This window comes from Homo sapiens, chromosome 2, assembly GCF_000001405.40.
Source record: "Homo sapiens chromosome 2, GRCh38.p14 Primary Assembly".
NCBI classification, from domain to species: Eukaryota; Metazoa; Chordata; class Mammalia; order Primates; family Hominidae; genus Homo; species Homo sapiens.
In genome coordinates, this window is record NC_000002.12 from 65241571 (window position 1) to 65263148 (window position 21578).

Genomic DNA, 21578 nt, shown 5'->3' on the forward strand with positions numbered 1-21578 from the left:
AGTAGAAAACAGCAAAAGATACCTGTGTCAAATAAATTTAACTTGAACACTAGAGCTTGGAAAAACAACCCTGAGCTATCTAACACTCTGCCTACTCAGCTAGACCTTTGCTGTTATCATTTATTTTTCTTAATTAAAGTTCTTAAGTTCAGTAATGAATTAAAGAAGCTTACTTTTTGGAATTCCTGTGCTTAGTATTTTGACTTATACTTTTTGTGTCTTGTTAGCTAAAATGTGGTAGACTGAAAAATGGAAATTTAAATCGTTTAATGAGTTAATTTGCATTCAGGAATAACTGTCCATGTTAATTTGGCCCTAATTATTAACTCCATTAAATATAGTAGTACTGCATCTGACCTCAACCTAATTGTCTCTATTGCTTGTATGTTTAAACATTTCAGTGAGGATTTTATTTAGGCCTTTTCTGACTCTTACTTCTACCTTCTCTCTCTTCACCTTTCTTGACCCGTTGAAGTAGAATAACAAAAAGATGGTAAGTGAGGTTACACACATGCTCTGTTTGTTTTCCACTTTTGCTTGATGGGACAGTAGTTGTTGTTTTGTGTCCCTTTAGTATTGGGGAGGGGGGGTTATTTCCATATTTTTATTTTAAGTACTTTGATTTTTAACCTTTTTCATTGCTTCAATTTGATAGCAACTAATTAAGTCCTATACTTTCCTGATTGCGTACAATGGACCAAACAAGAACTAATTACTAACATAGTTTTGAATTGTTTTCCTTGTTTTTCTTGTAGATGAATGTTATAATTAAAATGGAATGTGTTGTGCATAATATTAGAAACCAGATGGCTTTATATAGGATATGTGTGATCCAAAAAATTCAAGTGAAGTTGTTACATTTGAATAAATTCACTTTATTGACCAGTATTAAATTGAACATTGACTGTCATAGCCTGTATATATATTTGCATCTAGTGTGGTATCATATGTGTACTTAATAAACTGAGTAAAATTTTAATATGTAAATAAACCATAGATAGAAAAAGAGAATTCTTTCCATATCATCCTTACTGATGAGCAGATTTCACAACGTTATCTGAGGATAAATAAGAAAAAGGTAAAGCTTTTCTATAAACAACAGATTTCCCCCCCAAACATTGTACAGTGTGTTTTTCTTTATAACTATAAGCTTGCTGGTCTTATCTCAGACATTTAACTCTTCATTGTATTTTTCTGTGATAGTCTAAGTGCTTCTGTAGTAGATACTTTTCAAGTTTGTTTTTAATATTGTTTGTAAGAATCTCTGACAAAAATCAGGCACTTCTAATATATATTTTAACTAGTAATAGTAACTTTGTGAAGTTTTCTTTTGAATAAACAAAAACATTTAAAAGAGGAAATTTATCCTAAATAAAAGATCATAACATTTGTGTTTATATTCTAATGAGATTAAGAAAAGGGTGTGCTTGCTGGGCACGGTGGCTTGTGCCTGTACTCCCAGCACTTTGGGAGGCCCAGGCGGGTGGATCACGAGGTCACGAGTTCAAGACCAGCCTGACGAACATGGTGAAGCCCCATCTCTACTAAAAATAGAAAAATCAGCCAGGTGTGGTGGTGTGTGCCTGTAATTCCAGCTACTCAGGAAGCTGAGGCAGGAGAATCGCTTGAACCCGGGAGGCAGAGGTTGCAGTGAGCCGAGATCACGCCACTGCATTCCAGCCTGGGCAAGAGTGAGACTCCATCTCAAAAAAAAGAAAAGAAAAGGAAAGAGTGCGCTTGTAGAGAACAGTGTAGGCTTATTTTAACAGAAGTTTTTGACCGAGTGAGGTGTTTCATGCCTATAATTCCAGCACTTTGGCAGGACGAGGTGGGAGGATAGCTTGAGCCCAGGAGTTCAAGACCATCCTGGGCAACATGGCAAGACCCTGTCTCTATAGAAAGTTTTTTAAAAAGTAACCAGGCATAGTGATATGTGCCTCCCAAGCAACTTGGGAGGTTAAGGCAGGAGTATTGCTTGAGCCCAGAAGTTTGAGGCTGCAGTGGGTGATGACAGGGCCACTGCACTCCAGCTTGGGTGACAGAGCAAAACCCTGCCTCTATTAGTTAATTGAACAAACAAACAAATGTTTTCAGTGGAATTTTCTTCTAGGGATTTAATTGTGCTTTTGAACTTGAGTTTACTCTGTATTCTAATTTGAGGTGACATTGTTCAAAATGATTCTTGGCAAATGTAATCCCTACTACCCACTTTTCATGAAGTATAAATACCTTTGAAACAGCATCTCAGTTACTGTGATTTTTTTCATTGTTTCAGATAGGTGATGTTCAGTGGCGGGGCAGGTGGTTAAAACCTAAGGTCTGATCTGATCACTTATAACTTGGTTCTGAGTGATGAAGGCAAGTTATATAACACTTAGTAGGATTTTTTTATTAAAATTTTCGATATGAAAATTTTTTAATTGGATAGCTTGTATAGTCAAACTTTGTACTTCTTAAATAAGTTAATACTCCATTTTAAATGTCCTGTTTGTTCTGAGGAAGGTAAGGATACTCAATTCCAAACATTTCTTTCAGTTAATCCTTTATAGTATGTGTGGTCCTAGAAGTAGATACATGAGGCATTTATTTAGAGTTGGCATTGGGTCATGTAAATGTAAGCCCCTATTTGTACATTAAATAAAAAGTAAATTTCTGTTGAAATCAGATCAGACTTATTTCAAATTGGTTGAAATAATACTGATTATATTATCTAATTATCTAATCTGTTATCTTGTACAACACACAAAAAAGACGTAAAGTTAGTAACAAAAATGGTATATATAATTACAGGTATAGATTTCCCCCCTAACATTTTATTAAGCAGTATTAAGAAAATGTAGCAATATTGAAATGATTTTACAATGAAACTTGTATATCCATCACCTGGATTCTGACATTAATATATATCATACTGATTTATTACATATCTGTTCATCTGTTCATTCATCAGTGCATCTTGTTTTTTGATGGATTTCAAAGTAAGTTGCAGATACCAGTATACTTCTCCCTGAATACTTCAACATGTGCATGTTATTAACTAGAATTCACAAATACAGATTTTTAGTTTTGCATATTCCTCATAGAAGAATCTAAACGGTTGGGTGTGGTGATTCATGCCTATAATCCTAGCACTTTGGGAGGCTGAGGTGGGCGGATCCCTTGAGCCCAGGAGTTCAAGACCAGCCTGGGCAACATGGTGAAACCCTGTCTCTACTAAAAATACAAGAATTAGCTGGGCATGTAGCCTGTAGTCCCAGCTACTTGGGAGGCTAAGGTGGGAGGATCACCTGAGCCTGGGGAGGTTGAGGCTGTGGTAAGCAATAATGGCACCACTGCACTCCAGCTTGGGTGACAGAGTGAGACCCCATCTCAAAAAAAAAAAAAAAAAAGAGTGTAAACATTTAATATTTCAGATATTTGAGTAATAAGTTAGTAAGTTATGGTAAATGAACTTCATAAGAAATTGCAACAAATTTTTACTGAGCATTTCTAGCATCTGTTTTTAACTTTGTTATACTTTTTGATGCTTTTAGTGGATTTTCCAGAGATCTGTTTGGTTTTTTGTTAGAGTCCTCACCTTGGTTTCATCTCTGATATTTTCTTTTTCTTTTTTTTTTAATTTAAAACTCATATATTTTTAAGCCTTTGTTTTAAAACATCTCATGTTGGCCAGGTGTGGTGGCTCATGCCTGTAATCCCAACACTTTGGGAGGCCGAGATGGGTGAATTACTTGAGGTCAGGAGTTTGAGACCAGCTTGGCCAACATGGTGAAACCCCATCTCTACTAAAAATACAAAAATTAGCCAGGCGTGGTGGCAGGTGCCTGTAATCCCAGCTACTCAGGAGGCTGAGGCAGGAGAATCGCTTGAACCTGGGAGGCAGAGGTTGTAGTGAGCTGAGATCATGCCACTGCGCTCTAGCCTGGGCAGTAGAGCGAGACTCAGTCTCAAAAAAATAATCTCGTGTTAATTTTGCTGCTGCTTTTTTTTGTCTCTCCATAATTAAAACTTAACGTATTGTAGCAAATATCTACTTCTGATACTAGTTTTTTTAATTGAATTTATCAACATATGTAGAAATTAGTATTATTTAACCTCTTGACTAGCTGTTCTCTAAAAATAAGTCTAAATGCTAGGACATCCTTACTTATTATATATAGAAAATGTGACTTTCAAATGTGGGTCATCTTAAGTATGCTCTCATTGGAGACAAGACTTGTGAGTATTATGCTTCATGTGTGATGGTGTAGTTTTCCAGTATACTTTAAGATTGAAAATGTTGCTCAGGAGACAATTTTAAAGGATGGGTTATTTGCCTATATCTTAATTTTTTATAACTCTACAAATTCTCATTCACCTTGGTGAGGCATATGTAGAAACAGTTTAAATTCTTATTCAGGCATATGTAGATAGAAGTTTGTGCTATTTATTAGTTGGTGTATGTATGCATTATTATAGAGTAATAAAGAATCATTTTATTTTTTGCTTCTTTCATTATGCTTTATAGTACTTACATTTATCATTTTGATATTTAGTGCAAAGAAATGTGCTGCATGCATTGAGCATTTTTCTACAAGTTTTTTTCCCCCTGATGTGCTATTTCACATATCACAGGCCTTATTTTTTGAACAATTGAGCAAAAGAAACAGATGAAACCTCATACAAAACCCTCCAAAATATGAAAATGTGGGGTTTATTTGTGCTAATGCTCTTCTTTTGGAAACATTTGTGTTAAAGGTAAGGTCAATTTATTGATTTAAACCACATTGTATGTAAAAATGTATTATCCATGATTAAACTTTCTAAGACATTGTTCTTGATAGAAAAGATTTTCTAACTTGTGGAATAAAAAGATTTATTTTGCAAGTGTCAGAAATATTAAAATTAATTATTCCCAAGTTTTCTTAAATATTATGCAAAACTTTGATCTACAGCTTTGACATAATTTTCTAGGATCTTATGGTTGGTGATGAGGCAAGTGAATTACGATCAATGTTAGAAGTTAACTACCCTATGGAAAATGGCATAGTACGAAATTGGGATGACATGAAACACCTGTGGGACTACACATTTGGACCAGAGAAACTTAATATAGATACCAGAAATTGTAAAATCTTACTCACAGAACCTCCTATGAACCCAACCAAAAACAGAGAGAAGATTGTAGAGGTGAGTTTTTATGCAGGATATGCATATGTGTATTTCTGTGATATTATGTTAAATCAAAAATTTTCTTACTGTTGCTATGGATAAAGAGAATAAAAATAATTGTTTTCCTTCAGATCTTATTAAGTATCTACTATATGCTAGTCATTATTCTAAGTAGGAAAGTAGGATAGATCAGTAAACAAAAAATCCTACTGCCATGGAGTGTATATATTCTAACAGGGAAAAACAGACCAAAAAAATTAAGTTTTTAATTTAGTGAGTTAATTAAGTTAATTAAGTTTTTATGGAGGAGCCAGCAGAAGGAGACTGAAAAGGCTAATACAATAAGCAGTTACAGAGTTAATTAAATGGTTTGTTAGAAGGTGAGTGATCCAGTTGACCCATGAGCAATGCAGGGGTTAGGGGCACCAACCCTCCCTACTCACGTGCAAACTTAACTACCACCCAAAATACTTAACTTCTAATAGCCTACTGTTGACCAGAAGCCTTACTGATAACATAATATGTATTATATACTATATTCTTAACAATAAAGTAAGCTAGAGGAAATACTGTTAAGAAAATCATGGCCGGGCGCGGTGGCTCACGCCTGTAATCTCAGCACTTTGGGAGGCGGAGGCGGGCAGATCACAAGGTCAGGAGATCGAGACCATCCTGGCTAACACAGTGAAACTCCGTCTCTACTAAAAATACAAAAAATTAGCCGGGCGTGGTGGCGGGTGCCTGTAGTCCCAGCTACTCAGGAGGCTGAGGCAGGAGAATGACGTGAACCCTTGAGGCAGAGCTTGCAGTGAGTGGAGATCGTGCCACTGCACTCCAGCCTGGGCGACAGAGCGAGACTCCGTCTCAAAAAAAAATAAAAAATCATAAGAGAAAATACATTTACTATACCTTAAGTGGATGTAGATCATCATAAAGATCTTCATCGTCATTGTCTTCACACCGACGAAGAAGAGGAGGGGTTGGTCTTGCTGTCTCGGGTGGCAGAGACAGAAGAGGTGCAAGGGGAGGCAGGAAAGATTTATTGACAAAAATCGTGTATAAGTGGACCTGTGTGGTTCAAACTTGTTGTTATTCATGGATCAGCTGTAGATGCTAAAGGCAAAATAAATCAGGTTAACGGGGAGTGGGAGGTTGTAATTGTACATAGGTTGTGAGAAGGTGATGTTTAAACAGACAGGGTAAGTGAGTTAGCCAGGGTATATAGGAGAATGGTATTCCAGATAAAGGGAGTAGCCAGTGTAAAGGTCTTAAGTTAGGAACAAGCTTGGTATATTAAAGAATAAGCAAGGAAGCCAGTGTGGTTGAGGAGAGAGCAACAGAAGATGAGGTCGAGTAAGTAATATTGGTGCCTTGTAGGCTCTAATTAGGAATTGGGCGGCTGGAAGTGGTGGTTCAGGCCTGTAATCCCAGCACTTCTGGGAGGCCGAGGTGGGCGGATCACGAGGTCAAGAGTTCGAGACCAGCCTGACCAACATAGTGAAACGCCATCTCTACTAAAAATACAAAAATTAACTGGGCATAGTGGTGCGTGCCTGTAATCCCAGCTACTTGGGAGGCTGGGGCAGGAGAATCGCTTGAACCCAGGAGGCAGATGCTGCAGTGAGCCGAGATTACACCACTGCATTCCAGCCTGGGCGACAGGGTGAGACTCAGTCTCAAAAAGAAAAAAAGGGAATTGGGCTTTTACTGTGGGTGAAATATGGGGCTGTTACAGGAAAAGGAGATGCTCAGATTTAGATTTCTCTTGTGTTGTGAGTATCCCACAAGGAGGCAAAGATAGAAGAGTTGGAGACTTTTTCAGTCATTTAAGCAAAAGATAATGATGGTTAGGATTGAAGTAGTAGTAGTAGAGATAGTGAGAAATTACCAGATTATAGGTCTGTTTTGAAGGTAGGGCTATAAATGATACGGTTCAACAAAGAAGAGGGTAGACAGTGGTGAAAAGGCCAAGGACCAGAGAGATAGGAGGAGCCAGCAGAAGGAGATTGAAAACGTTATTGAGGCCGGGCTAGGTGGCTCCCAGCACTTTGGGAGGCCAAGGCGGGTGGATCACTTGAGACTAGGAATTTGAGACCAGCCTGGCCAACATGGCAAAACTCCGTCTCTACTAAAAACACAAAATTAGCTGGGCATAGTGGTGCACGCCTGTAATCCCAGCTACGCAGGAGGCTGAGGCAGGAGAATTGCTTGAACCCAGGAGGTGGAGGTTGCAGTGAGCTGAGATCACCCCACTGCACTCCAACCTGAGCGACAGAGCGAGACTCTGTCTCAAAAAGAAAAAAGAAAAAGAAAAAAAAAGTTAATGAAATAATGAAATAAGCAGTTACAGAGGAAAGAGAGAGCAAGAGAGCTATGATCCTCATAGTTTAAATAAGTAATTTTTCAAGGTTCTTTTATTTTTGTATATATGAAGTAGAAATTTAATAACTTCTGTAGCTTTCCAGTTACTGTTTAATGTACATATTTTGTTTACGAATATGTTTAAATGTTGATGGAAATTTTTGAAAGGGTTTAGAAGAAAATGTTGTTAGTATTTTTAAAGCCTGTATTAAAACTCAGTTTTTGTATTAAGTGTTTTGAAAATCTAAGATCATGGTTTTAAAGAATCCATATGATTTCTTATGGCTTATATTTTAATATTCTTATTTGTTTATGACTACAAATATGTCTATGACTGATAGTGTCCTACCTTAATCTCATTAACATGCTTTCACATTGGTATGTGCATATATATGATCATTCTTCCATTTTCATCCCTGTGGAGGTGGAATAAAGGATGATGGAATAAAATACTATTCAGACTATCTAATTGCTTAATTGATGAGTATGTGTTTCAGAGTTGTAGAATTTAAATTCTGTGTAATTTTCATTGTGGTCAGTTGTAAAATTTCTAAATATTTAGATATTCAGAGTGATAGGCAACCCTACCAGTCAAGGGGTGCTCAGTCAAGATCACCAAAAAAAAAATCATGCAGGATGTTCCCAGCTGACCTGGGCTACAGAGAATGAACATGTGTGTGACCAGTGAGGGCAAAAAGGAAAGAACTCCTCCTTCCAGGGTAGTTCATTTGGAGGTTGTAATTACAGTCTTGATTCAAGTAGGGACTGGGCTCAGCAGCTAAGCCATTTCTGTATCTTCCAGCAATCAGGAATTAACCATTGATTTTTGTCTTTGCCGTGGCATTTTACTGGGTTTTTTATTTTTTCTTTCTTTCTTTCTTTTAATTTTTAAGCTGCTCAGGGTAGACAGAGCTACACTCTTGGCCCAGATTGAGGGAGGGGGTACGAGGCTCTGTAAAGCAATTTCTATATTTTGTCTTCGAATTAAAAGATATTTCCCGGCCGGGTGCGGTGGCTCACGCCTGTAATCCCAGCACTTTGGGAGGCCGAGGCAGGCGGATCATGAGGTCAGGAGATGGAGACCATCCTGGCTAACACGGTGAAACCCTGTCTCTACTAAAAATACTAAAAATTAGCCGGGTGTGGTGGTGTACGCCTGTAGTCCCAGCTACTCGGGAGGCTGAGGCAGGAGAATGGCGTGAACCAGGGAGGTGGAGGTTGCAGTGAGCTGAGATGGCACCACTGCACTCCAGCCTGGGCGACAGAGCAAGACTCCGTCTCAAAAAAAGAAAAAAAAAAGATATTTCCCTGGCTGGATGTGGTGGCTGACACCTGTAATCCCAGCACTTTGGGAGGCCGAGGTGGGTGGATCATGAGGTCAGGAGTTCGAGACTAGCCTGGCCAACATAGTGAAACCCTGTCTGTACTAAAAATACAAAAATTAGCCAGGCATGGTGGTGCATGCCTGTAGTCCCAGCTACTCAGGAGGCTGAGGCAGGAGAATCAGTTGAACCCTGGAGGTGGAGGTTGCAGTGAGCCAAGATTGCGCCACTGCACTCCAGCTTGGGCAACAGAGTGAGACTTCATCTCAAAAAAAAAAAAAAAAAAAAAGAATTTCCCTTAAGGGATATCAATTAAGAAAGTCTTGTTCAATACAGAGAGCTTTCTTTCACACTAATTAGTCATTAACTAATACACTAAGAAATCTTTGCTTTGTCACGCTTATGAAATGCTTGGGGACTTAGAAATCTGTCTTCAGATTTGGAGCTCTGTGGCAGCAGGACTTCAATAAGAAATAAGAGGAGCTGATGAAAATGGAAGACTATTTCAGGTCCATTTGATTCTATTTTGGGCAATTAATTCACTCTGTGACCATGAGGAAAACATTTATTTATTATGTAATTTTCTAAATACCAGTTTTTTTCTTTCTGTCTGCATTTACAGGTAATGTTTGAAACTTACCAGTTTTCCGGTGTATATGTAGCCATCCAGGCAGTTCTGACTTTGTACGCTCAAGGTAGGTTAAGCTTAACTGTTAGAAAAAACACTTCATCAAACATTTATTATGTATGTTTTATGTCAGAGAATTTGGTTTCTCAATAAGTTATAAGCCCCAGAAAACTACATTATTTATATACCACACTTTGAAATATTTTCAGTTTTTAAAATTTGTGAAATAAGATTTTATATACATTTTTATTTGCTAAATATGTATTTAAGGTAAAAAAAAAAGGCTTAAAGACTTATTTTTTAAAAAATAGGATATTCTCTCTTTTAAGCTATTTAAATTTTTTTTGAGACAGATTTTCGCTTTTGTTGCCCAGGCCGGAGTGCAATAGTGCAATCTTGGCTTACCACAACCTCCACCTCCTGGGTTCAAGTGATTTTCCTGCCTCAGCCTCCCAAGTATTTGGGATTACAGGCATGTGCCACCACACCTGGCTAATTTTGTATTTTTAGTAGAGATGGGGTTTCTCCATATTGGTCAGGCTGGTCTCAAACTCCTGACCTCAGGTAGTCCGCCCGCCTCAGCCTCCTGAAGTGCTGGGATTACAGGCATGAGTCACCGTGCCTGGCATAGCTATTTTAATTTTTTATGCATGGAATTTGTCCCCAGAATTGGCTTGAGTTAAAAAAAATACGCAGAGATTCAAAAAGGTAGCATAAAATCATGCCTGTCAAATATATAGTAGATTAAAAAGGAGAAGGTAAACATTTGGGAGTGCATTTCTAACTTTTGAGGTGGGTTTAATGGAGGGGACTACTTATATATTCTCTTGATATTGCCATTAGCAACTGCCTCCCTCTTTATTGGAAATAAAATATTGGCCACGTTGGGAGAGCTCTTTTTTTTTTTTATGGTCTTATAAATTCAACAGGAACTTACTGAGAATGTCTGGGCCTGTCAGATATGTGCCAAGGAGTCTTTTAGGCACTTCAGGGGATAATCCAGTGGGAAAAGAGTGTGGCACTGGAAATGGGTCAAGTGTGTTTGGAGAAAGGCCAGTATGTGTGTGACCTGATGGAAGTGGTAGAAAATAAGGTGAGGTGGGTAGGGAGGGCTCTTTGGGAAATAAAATGTAAATTCTTGCATTAGTCAGTGTTCCTGGGAGTATTTTTGAATTGATGATGGTGTGAATTCCTCCTTTTTTTTTTCTTTTTTGCAATGGAAATCCTCTTCTTTTTAAAAGAGTACAACATTCAAGGGCTGTATATGAGTTTTATGAGGCTTATTGCATCAAGGAATTATATCCACTTAAAAAGGAGGTAGTTTTAGGCCGGGTGTGGTGGCTCACGCCTGTAATCCCAGCACTTTGGGAGGCCGAGGTGGGTGGATCACGAGGTCAGGAGATCGAGACCATCCTGACTAACACTGTGAAACCCCGTCTCTACTAAAAAAAAAATACAAAAAATTAGCTGGGCATGGTGGCATGTGCCTGTAATCCCAGCTACTTGGGAGGCTGAGGCGGGAGAATCGCTTGAACCCAGGAGGCAGAGGTTGCAGTGAGCTGAGATTGTGCCATTGCACTCCAGCCTGGGCGACAGAGTGAGACTCTGTCTCAAAAAAAATATGTAAATAAAAATAAATAAAAAAAGTTTTTTTGACCAGGTATGGTGGCTCATGGCTGTAATCCCAGCACTTTGAGAAGCCAAGGTGGTCAAATTGCTGTATCTCCAGAGTTTGAGACCAGCCTAGGCAACATAGTGAGATCCCTATCTCTATAAAAAGTAAAATTAGCTGGGTGTGGTTGCACATGCCTATAATCCCAGCCACTTGAGAGGCTGAGGTGAGATGATCACTTGAGCCCAGGAGGTTGAGGAAACAGGGGAAACAAAGCAGCTTCTTTGCTGTTCTTTTATTATGAGGTTTAACTGACATTGCCTTTTATTATAAGTTCCAGTGAATAATCAAAGTGATGCTTTGGCTAGCCATGTTTAATTTTTCTTAGATTTCTAGCTGTCTAGTATCAATAGGCATTTTTCCAGAACACACAGTATATGTTATTTGTAGTATATTCAAAACTATCTAAGTTGAAAAAAATAAAGAATTGTACAGAGCTTTAAGAACGTGTTCTGCTGGGTGTGGTGGCTCACGCCTGTAACCCCAGCAGTTTGAGAGGCCAAGGCAGACAGATCACTTGAGGCCAGGAGTTCGAGACCAGCTTGGGCAACATGGCGAAACTCTGTCTCTACAAAAAAATTACAAAAATTAGCCAGGCATGGTGGTGCATGCCTGTAGTCCCAGCTGCTCAGGAGGCTAAGGTGGGAGGTATGACTTGAACCCAGGAAATGAAGATTGCAGTGAGCCTAGATTGAGCCACTGTACTCCTCCAGCCTGGGTGACAGAGCCAGACCCTGTCTCAAAAAAAAAAAGGAAAAAAAAGTCCTGTTTTTCAGTCCTCAGTCTCAGGGTCTGTTTCTTCTCATCTCCTTGGACAGCACATAATAGTAGACTAAAAGTCTTAAAAGAGAACACTCGCTTTAATACTTATGCATTAGAAACAAACTGCAAAATAACTAAATAATAAATTCTGGCTTCTAGTTGGTTACGTTTCTGTTTTGGCTTCCCTACTGTATTTGGAACTCGCTGGCTTTGGTTTTCCTGATTTGACTTTTTATTTAAATCCCCCTGGCTTTTATGCAGGTTTATTGACTGGTGTAGTGGTAGACTCTGGAGATGGTGTGACTCACATTTGCCCAGTATATGAAGGCTTTTCTCTCCCTCATCTTACCAGGAGACTGGATATTGCTGGGAGGGATATAACTAGATATCTTATCAAGGTAAGTGAAAGGAAAATATCATGGAAATTAAATTTTGTAATTTGTTTACCACCTTAACACAGAATTGAATCTATCGTTTTAGGATTCCAGCAAATCTGTACCACTAGAGAAATTATCCAATTACCTCCCTTATTTATATAAAAATTCATATAAGATTTATACACATGAAGAAAAAAGAAGATACATTAAAAACAAGGAAAAAAGTGTACACACATGATCTCTGTATACTAATGAGAGTACATTATATCATTACATAATTATATTTGTTATTCCTGAGGAGTGAGTAGACAGATATTTCAAGGATAGAAGAGACCCCTAATTTGAAACTTTCTTGGACAGCTCAGGCAGCCTTTTCTGCCATAAAACCTTTCTTTGAGCAGGTATGTTTTAAGCCATGATCTTGGTTGGGTTGTCTGCTCTTGTCCTTTCCTACAAAATACAGTGATAGCAAATTAATGATATTTGAGGAAAACAGCCCAAATACGCCAGACTTTAATATTTAGTAGTTTTCATGGAATAGATGCAGTTTTTAATATTTACTATTTTAGTTTATTTCTGAATATAACTAGTTATAATTTTCTTTAAAACATTACTGGAGAAAGTACATAAGGTGTCTACTTGCTAACATATATCATTTTTAATATTAAAATAAAATTTAGAAAATTGTTTATACCACAATTCTATAATCAGTCTATCCTCTCCAGGACAGTGGTTCTCACCAGGGGACAGTGCTGTCCTCTGGGGGATATTAGCAATTTCTGGACACATTTTTGGTTGTCTGAGCTGGGCAGGAATGCTACTGAACATTCTATAATGAATAGGGCTGGCTGCACAACAAACAATGTATAGTCTGTCAGTGGTGCTGCTATTAAGAAACCCTGTCTCTGCATTAAATTGGGTTGCACTGTCTTTACCTTGACATTGGGTTCCTTCAGTCTCATTTAAAGTAATCCTCCTCATGAGGGGAGATTAAATTAATGAGAATTATAATACTCTCATTTTAGGCCAAAATTCAAAGCGTAACTAACAGAATTTCTGGGGTTGTCTTTAGAACACAGACTCAAATATTAGAGGATTTTTTTTTTATTTGTAAAGTCTAGTAATTTTTTTTCTCTCAGTGGGTTTTTAAAAAAATAGTAGTATTTTCTAGCATTTAAGAAATGTAACAATGGAGATTATACCTTTGAGTATCCCAATAATTCCCTTATCATTCGTTAAACAAATGCTATTGTCCTTCTAATATGTGCCAGACACAGTACTAGAAGCTAAAGATAAAACTTTTAAAGACTTGGGGGCATTTCATAAATATGGCATTAATTGTGTGAGCAAACTGCAGGCTACAGGAGTCCAGTACTAAAATAATATTTATTCATTAATATACTTTTGATTGTTTATCAAAACTATCAAAACATTAGTACTCATGCAGTGCTTTTCAAAAACTGACTTTTCTAGTCATTTTACTGACTTACTTATGAATTGTTAATTCTTTTACCCTCTCTGAAACTGAAATATAAATCCTTTTATGGCGGATAAAATCCTGCTTCTGAAATAGTAGGAGCTGAGGATCCACTGCCCATTCTGTTTGTTATTGATGTGACATATTTAATGAGCATTACTAGCTTTTGCAGAGTAGAACTCATTCAGATGTATTATGAACTTATTGCTATTGTTTTGTACCAGCTACTTCTGTTGCGAGGATACGCCTTCAACCACTCTGCTGATTTTGAAACGGTTCGCATGATTAAAGAAAAACTGTGTTACGTGGGATATAATATTGAGCAAGAGCAGAAACTGGCCTTAGAAACCACAGTATTAGTTGAATCTTATACAGTAAGTGTTTCCAGTGTATAATATATATGTGTTTTAAAGTGGACAGCCATGATTATTGGTGTCAGCTTAAGGAGGTTTTCTTAGAATCAGTATTTTTGTCTTGGGTTGTTGTAATATGTATATGTGTGACTTTTAATGTCTCTTTCTACATTAAGTTTCTATTTAATTATTTTAGGGCACCATATAATGCAAATTAAGGCAAGAATCATAAATTACTCTCTATACTAGGATATAATTAGATGCGAGATGTTATTTTGAGATTCTAGTATTTGGCATAGCATTTCTCAATGTATGTTTTACAGAACTTTATTTCCCTGAGATGCTAATAAGCATTTCACAAAAATTAAAAAGGATTACATTGTCAGATGAGTTTGAGAAAGAGTTGATTTCACTTCACTGTAGAACTCAGAGCCTTTGGTATGCTAATATGGGCACAATTAATATAGTATGCGTGTTTTTCAGACTTATGCTCTAGGACTTTTCAGAATTTCATGGGATTAGTGATCTAAGAAACATACTTTGGAAATGGTCATTCTAGAGCATTGCTTTACTAATTCAGTAGGTGGCAGCCTTTCCTGACTTAATATTCTTTAATGAGGTGTTAAATGTTAACTTGAAATTGTAACTAATGAGATTTAGTACCTGGTTATAGTTTATAACACCAGAGGAGTTGATCCTACTTGAATTTTTAATGAATTACCATCTTAAGCCTATTAAATTTGTCTGAGTATAAAGTACTTCCAGGTCTCATCTTTGATCTAGTTATTACTAAAATGAAACAGTAATAGGCAATGAAGGCAAGTATTTTAAAACCATATGATGCATACTAGCTCTACATATTCACAAATATATGCAAAATAGTCATTTTTAAAGTAATTATAAAAAATTTGTTGTTGGCCGGGCGCGGTGGCTCACGCCTGTAATCCCAGCACTTTGGGAGGCCGAGGCAGGCGGATCACCTGAAGTCAGGAGTTGGAGAACAGCCTGGCCAACATGGTGAAACCCGTCTTTACTGAAAATACAAAAAATTAGCTGGGCAAGGTGGTGGGCACCTGTAGTCCCAGCTATTCAGGAGGCTGAGGCAGGAGAATTGCTTCAACCCAGGAGGCAGAGGTTGCAGTGAGCTGAGATCGTGCCACTGCACTCCAGCCTGGGTGACAGAGCAAGACTCCATGTCGGTAAAAAAAAAAAAAAAAAAAAAGTTAAGATAGTGATCCAAATATTCAGTAAACCCCCATTTAAAATTTTTTTAAATTTATTTTTTATTATACTTTAAGTTCTGGGATACATGTGCAGAAAATGCAGGTTTGTTACATAGGTACACATGTGCCATGGTGGTTTGCTGCACCCATCAACCTGTCATCTGCATTAGATATTTCTCCTAATGCTATACCTCCCTCCCCTTGCCGCCCCCCACCCAACAGGCCCCATGTGTGTTGTTCCCCTCCCTGTGCCCATATGTTCTCATTGTCAGCTCCCACTTATGAATGAGAACATTTGGTGTTTGGTTTTCTGTTCCTGTGTTAATTTGCTGAGAATGATGGTTTCCAGCTTCACCCATGCCCCTGTAAAGGACATGAACTCATTCATTTTTTTATGGCTGCATAGTATTCCATGGTGTATATGTGCCACATTTTCTTTATCCAGTCTAACGTTGATGGGCATTTGGGTTGGTTCCAAGTCTTTGCTATTGTGAATAGTGCTGCAGTAAACATATGTGTGCATGTGTCTTTATAGTAGCATGATTTATAATCCTTTGGGTATATACCCAGTAATGGGATCGCTGGGTCAAATGGTATTTCTAGTTCTAGATCCTTGAGGAATCACCACATTGTCTTCCACAATGGTTGAACTAATTTACACTCCCACCAACAGTGTAAAAGCGTTCCTATTTCTCCATATCCTCTCCAGCATCTGTTGTTTCCTGACTTTTTAAGGATCGCCATTCTAACTGGCATGAGATTTTGTGGTTTTGATTTGTATTTCTCTAATGACCAGCGATGATGAGCTTTTTTTCTTATGTTTATTGGCCACATAAATGTCTTCTTTTGAAAAGTGTCTGTTCGTATCCTTTGCCCACTTTTTCATGGGGTTATTTGTCTTTTTCTGGTAAATTTGTTTAAGTTCCTTGTAGATTCTGGTTATTAAGGCTTTGTCAGATGGATAGATTGCAAAAATTTTTTCCCATTCTGTAGGTTGCCTGTTCACTCTGATGATAGTTTCTTTTGCTATGCAAGAAGCTCTTTAGTTTAATTAGAACCCATTTGTCAATTTTGGCTTTTGTTGCAATTGCTTTTGGTGTTTTAGTCATGAAGTCTTTGCCCATGCCTATGTCCTGAATGGTATTGGCTAGGTTTTCTTCTAGGAGTAAACCCATTTTGTAACTTAATCATCTCCAGATTTGCTCTGGAGATTCCTTCCTGAAGTCTTCTTGACAGTTTCTCTAGTTGTCTGATTTTCCATCTACCTGACTATTTTGGAAGAAAGTGGCTGGCACAGGGCAAAAGATAAGCAAACTAGGAATGTAAAACATGTTTTATTTCTTCCTTCTCTCTTTTCTCAAAGAATTTGAGGTAGGCTACAAAAATATATACAAATAGGCTGGGTGTAGTGGCTCACACCGGTAATCCCAGCACTTTGGGAGGCTGAGATACGAGGATCACTTGAGGCCAGGAGTTCATGGCCAGCCTGGGCAATATAATGAGACCCTGTCTCTACAAAAAAAATACAAAAATTTGCCAGGCGTAGTGGCACGTGCCTGTAGTCCTAGCTAGTTGAGAGGTTGAGGTGGGAAGATTGCTTGAGCCCAGGAGTTCAAGGCTCAAGTTTTGAGGCAGAGAGCTAGGATTGCACCACTGCACTCCAGCCTGGGTGAAGGAGCGAGACCCTGTCTCAAAAACAAAACAAAATCCATATATATATTTGATATATATATGCACACACACACATATACACAAGTATAAAGTAATAAGCTGATGAATAAGTGAGGAGGGACATGGGTGGACAAATACAGAACAGGATAAGATTTGGTGCAAAGAAATGGGATGCCTGCAGTTTTAACAGTTCATTAAGGTGATTAGAAAACTTGACCCCATGCTGGCCAGCAGCCAGAGAATGGAGAGAAGCCACACTATCAGGCTTCAAGTGCTTAAGGCAGGAGGTTTTGCTAATAAGATCTGCTGTGTGAAGTTTTTCCAGATATTTTGGGTGATTTCATGTGAACCCACCTGAAGGTGGAGGTGGTTTTTTTAAGGGTATAAGTTTTGGTAACCTTTTTTTTTTCTTTCTGTTTTGAGACAGGGTTTCCTCACTCTGTTGCTCAGGCTGCAGTGCAGTGGCATGATCTCGGCTCACTTCAGTCTCAATCTCCCAGGGTTAGGTGATCCTCCCACCTCAGCCTCCTAGGTAGCTGGGACCAAAGCTGGAATCTAAACAATCATTGTAATTGGCCAGGCGCGGTGGCTCTTCCCCATAATCCCAGCAATTTGGGAGGCCAAGATGGGAGGATCATTTGAGCCCAGGAGTTCAAGACCAGTCTGAGTAACAAAGCAAGACCCCCGTCTCTACAAAAAATAAAATTAGCCAGCCATAGTAGTGTGCATCTGTAGTGCCAGCTACTTGGGAGGCTGAGGTGGGAGAATCCCTTGAATCTGGGAGATTGAGGCTGCAGTGAGCCATGATCACACCACTGCCCTCTAGCCTGGACAACAGATGAAGACCCTATCTCAAAAAAAATATATATGTATTGTAGGGCCAGGCATGGTGGCTCATGCCTGTAATCCCAGCACTTTTGGGAGGCCAAGCCAGGCAGATCACTTGAGGCCAGGAGCTCGAGACCAGCCCAGCCAACATGCAGAAACTCTGTCTCTACTAAAAATACAAAAATTAGCCAGGCGTGGTGGCACATGCCTGTAATCTCAGCTACTTGGGGGGCTGAGGTATGAGAATCATTTGAACCCAGTAGGCAGAGGTTGCACTGAGCCACGATCAAGCCACTACACTCCAGCCTGGGCAACAGAGCGAGACTCTGTCTCAAAAAAAAATTAAATTATAAATGTACTGTTAGACTTGTTAATGTAAAATTAATTCTGGTATCTCATGGAAATGTGTCAAATGCTAGCATACATGGGCGTGCTTATTACTTAGGACAATCCAGTGAATTGTGAGGTGTTATGAGAGGAAGTTTCTACTTAACACTTCTCATTTAATTAAATATGAACATGATGTGTGACTGACAAGATTTTTTTGTACAAAGTCATAATATGATACCTGATTTGTTTAAATCTTATTTGCTTAAATTGAAATTATATTTATCAGTTACTTAAAATGTATTAGGACCTAGTAGGATACAACAGAATTGCCTAATAAAAATAGTCTAGACCAGTGTTCTGTAAACTTTTTTGATCATAAGACATTTTTTGGATTAAATGATTTGATAGAAGTGGTACACATGTTATAAAGTATTTTGGCAAAATAATAGTTTCACAGAGTAATTATTTGATGAAATAAAATTATTTAAAATGTTTAATGTGGCTAGGCGCAGTGGTTCATGCTTGTAATCCCAACACTTTGGGAGGTTGAGGCGAGCAGATCACCTGAGGCCAGGAGTTCAAGACCGCCTGGTCAACATGATGAAACCCCGTCTTTACTAAAAATACAAAAATATGCTGGCGTGGTGGCACATGCCTGTAATCCGAGCTACTCAGGAGGCTGAGGCAGGAGAATTGCTTGAACCTAGGAGACAGAGGTTGCAGTGAGCCGAGATCGTGCCATTGCACTCCAGCCTGGGCGACAAGAGAAACTCTGTCTCAATCAATCAGTCAATCAGTGTTTTAACATGTCTGTTCTACATAGCAGAAATATCCATAAAATCACAAATATGTTAAAATTATAAAACTGTAGTAACACATACCAGCAATAATCAAAATACAATGGTTGGTCAGTGATGCTTGTTTCTGCTTTGCTGCAAACATCATGCACTCATGCATCAGTGATTTCTCCAAGAAATTCCTGATATTTGGGGGCGTGGCATACCTTTTTTTTTTTTTTTTTTGAGATGGAGTCTCGCTCTATTGCCCCTGCTGGAGTGCAGTGGCGTGATCTTGGCTCACTGCAAGCTCTGCCTCCCGGGTTCACGCCATTCTCCTGCCTCAGCCTCCCCGAGTAGCTGGGACTATAGGCGCCCGCCACCACACCCGGCTAATTTTTTGTATTTTTAGTAGAGACAGGGTTTCATTGTGTTAGTCAGGATGGTCTCAATCTCCTGACCTTGTGATCCGCCCAGCTCAGCCTCCCAAAGTGCTGGGATTACAGACGTGAGCCACCACGCCCAGCCTGGCATAACATTTTTAAAAGCAAAACAGAATGTGATAAGAGCAGTTACCTAAATCTATTTAATTTACCTTTTTTTCCCCAAATATATTTTAGGAAAAATTGTTGTTGGTAATGATTTTGGTTACAGAACAGATGTATTTATAAGTACTAGTGTTCCGGAGAACACTGGGAAATTTTAATCTTTTGCTGATTAGTACCTGATTATTCTTGGTTTCTAGCTCCCAGATGGACGTATCATCAAAGTTGGGGGAGAGAGATTTGAAGCACCAGAAGCTTTATTTCAGCCTCACTTGATCAATGTTGAAGGAGTTGGTGTTGCTGAATTGCTTTTTAACACAATTCAGGCAGCTGACATTGATACCAGGTACATTAGAAGTGGTGATTTCAAAGTTATTTATCAGAAAAATCATAAAAATAGTTTTAAAGTTATTTATCAGAAATAGATGGAATTAAATAGAATGACTAAGTTTATAAACTTACTTGAAATAATTTCAGACTTACGGAAAGGTTGCAAGAAAAATGCAGAAAACTTATCTGTATCCTTTATCTGGATTTACCATTTTACTAATTCTAATGTTCTTCATGTTTGCTTTTTCATTCTGTTTTTTCTGAACCGTTTGAGGGTAGATTAAATGCATCAGTTCTTTACTAGTTGGTGTTTCCTAAGGATAAAGATACTCTCTTACATAGTCATGCTGATTTCAGATCCTTTGGAGATACACCCAGTAGTGGAATTGCTGGATCATATGGTAGTTCTATTTTTAACTTTCCGAGGAACCTCCATACTGTTTTCTGTAATAGCTGTACTAATTCACACTCCCACCAGCAGTGTACAAGGGTTTCCTTTTCTCCACATCCTCGCCAGTATTCGTTACCTTTCCTCTTTTTGATAATAGCCATTCCAACAGATGTGAAGTGATATCTCATTGTGGTTTAATTTGCATTTATTTCCCTGATGATTAGGGATGCTTAGCATTTTTTCCATTTGTATGTCTTTTGAGAAATGTCTATTCAGGTCCTTTGCCCATTTATTAATTGGGTTATTTGCTTTCTTGCTATTGAGTCATTTGAGATTTGAGTTCCTTACATATTTTGGATATTAACCACTTATCAGATGTCTGATTTGCAAATATATTCTCACATTCTATAGGTTATATCTTCACTTTGTTGATTAATTCCTTTGCTGTGCAGAAACTTCTTTTGTTGTTGTTTGTTTTTTGAGACGGAATGTCACTCTCTCACCCAGGCTGAAGTGTAGTGGTGCAATCTTGGCTCACTGCAACCTCTGCCTCCCGTTTTCAAGCGATTCTCCTGCCTCAGCCTCCCAAGTAGCTGAGATTACAGGCATGTACCACCATGCCCAGAATTTTTTTTTTTTTTTTTGTATTTTTTAGTAGAGATGGGGTTTTGCCGTATTGACCAGGCTGGTCTCGAACTCCTGGCCTCAAGTGATCCACCCCACCTCAGCCTACCAAAGTGCTGAGAGAAACTTCTTAGTTTGATGTAAATGCATGTATATTTTTGTTAGATATTGCCAAATTTCCCTCTCTGGCAATTGTATCGTTTATCCTTTTCCACCGATCTGATGAGTGAGAAATTATTTCAGTGTAATTTTACTTTTTATTTCTGTCATTAAGAGTGAAGTCAAACCAGGGGTGGTGGCTTCTGGCTGTAATCGCAGCACTTTGGAGGCTGAGGTGGGAGGTTTGCTTAAGCCTAGGAGTTTAAGACCAGCCTGGGCAACATATGGAGATCCTGTCTTTACATAAATTTTTTTCAAAAAGATTAGCCAGGTATGGTGGTGGTGTACTCCTGTAGTCCTAGCTACTCAGAAGGCTGAAGTGGGAGGATTGCTTGAGCTTGAGAGGTAGAGGCTGCAGTGAGCCATGATTGTGTCACTGCACTCCAGCCTGGGTGACAGAGTGAGACCCTGTCTCTCCCCACCGCCACAAAAGAAAGTTCCTAAAAAAAAAACATATATATATATATAAAACATATTTTTATATGTTTAAGGGACTTGTTTGTTTGTTTGAGATAGAGTCTCGCTCTGTCGCCAGGCTGGAGTGCAGTGGTGCAGTCTCGGCTCACTGCAACCTGGGTGGAGTGATTCTCCTGCCTCA

The 21578-nt window shown here is 38.6% G+C and overlaps 1 protein-coding gene across 2 annotated transcripts in view, besides 1 other annotated feature; it reads left to right on the plus strand.

The window, feature by feature from the left end:
• Window positions 1–21578, plus strand: part of ACTR2 (actin related protein 2) — a 43423-nt gene that overhangs the window by 13740 nt on the left and 8105 nt on the right. Inside the window, exons 3-8 of one of the 2 annotated variants that reach the window (NM_001005386.3) lie at window positions 479–493; window positions 4954–5169; window positions 9457–9529; window positions 12158–12294; window positions 13975–14124; window positions 19677–19822. In NM_001005386.3, the coding sequence (NP_001005386.1) occupies window positions 479–493; window positions 4954–5169; window positions 9457–9529; window positions 12158–12294; window positions 13975–14124; window positions 19677–19822 (737 nt within the window). The remainder of the gene's footprint in view (window positions 1–478; window positions 494–4953; window positions 5170–9456; window positions 9530–12157; window positions 12295–13974; window positions 14125–19676; window positions 19823–21578) is intronic. The other variant, NM_005722.4, reaches the window with a different exon arrangement.
• Window positions 9179–9348: an enhancer, noted in NCBI's record as "experimental_58697 CRE fragment used in MPRA reporter constructs". NCBI's record gives its function as "activates a minimal promoter by MPRAs in K562 erythroleukemia cells, with activity observed for the non-introgressed 2:65477968 variant allele {active_cell/tissue: K562}" and the evidence as "EXISTENCE:reporter gene assay evidence [ECO:0000049][PMID:34662402]".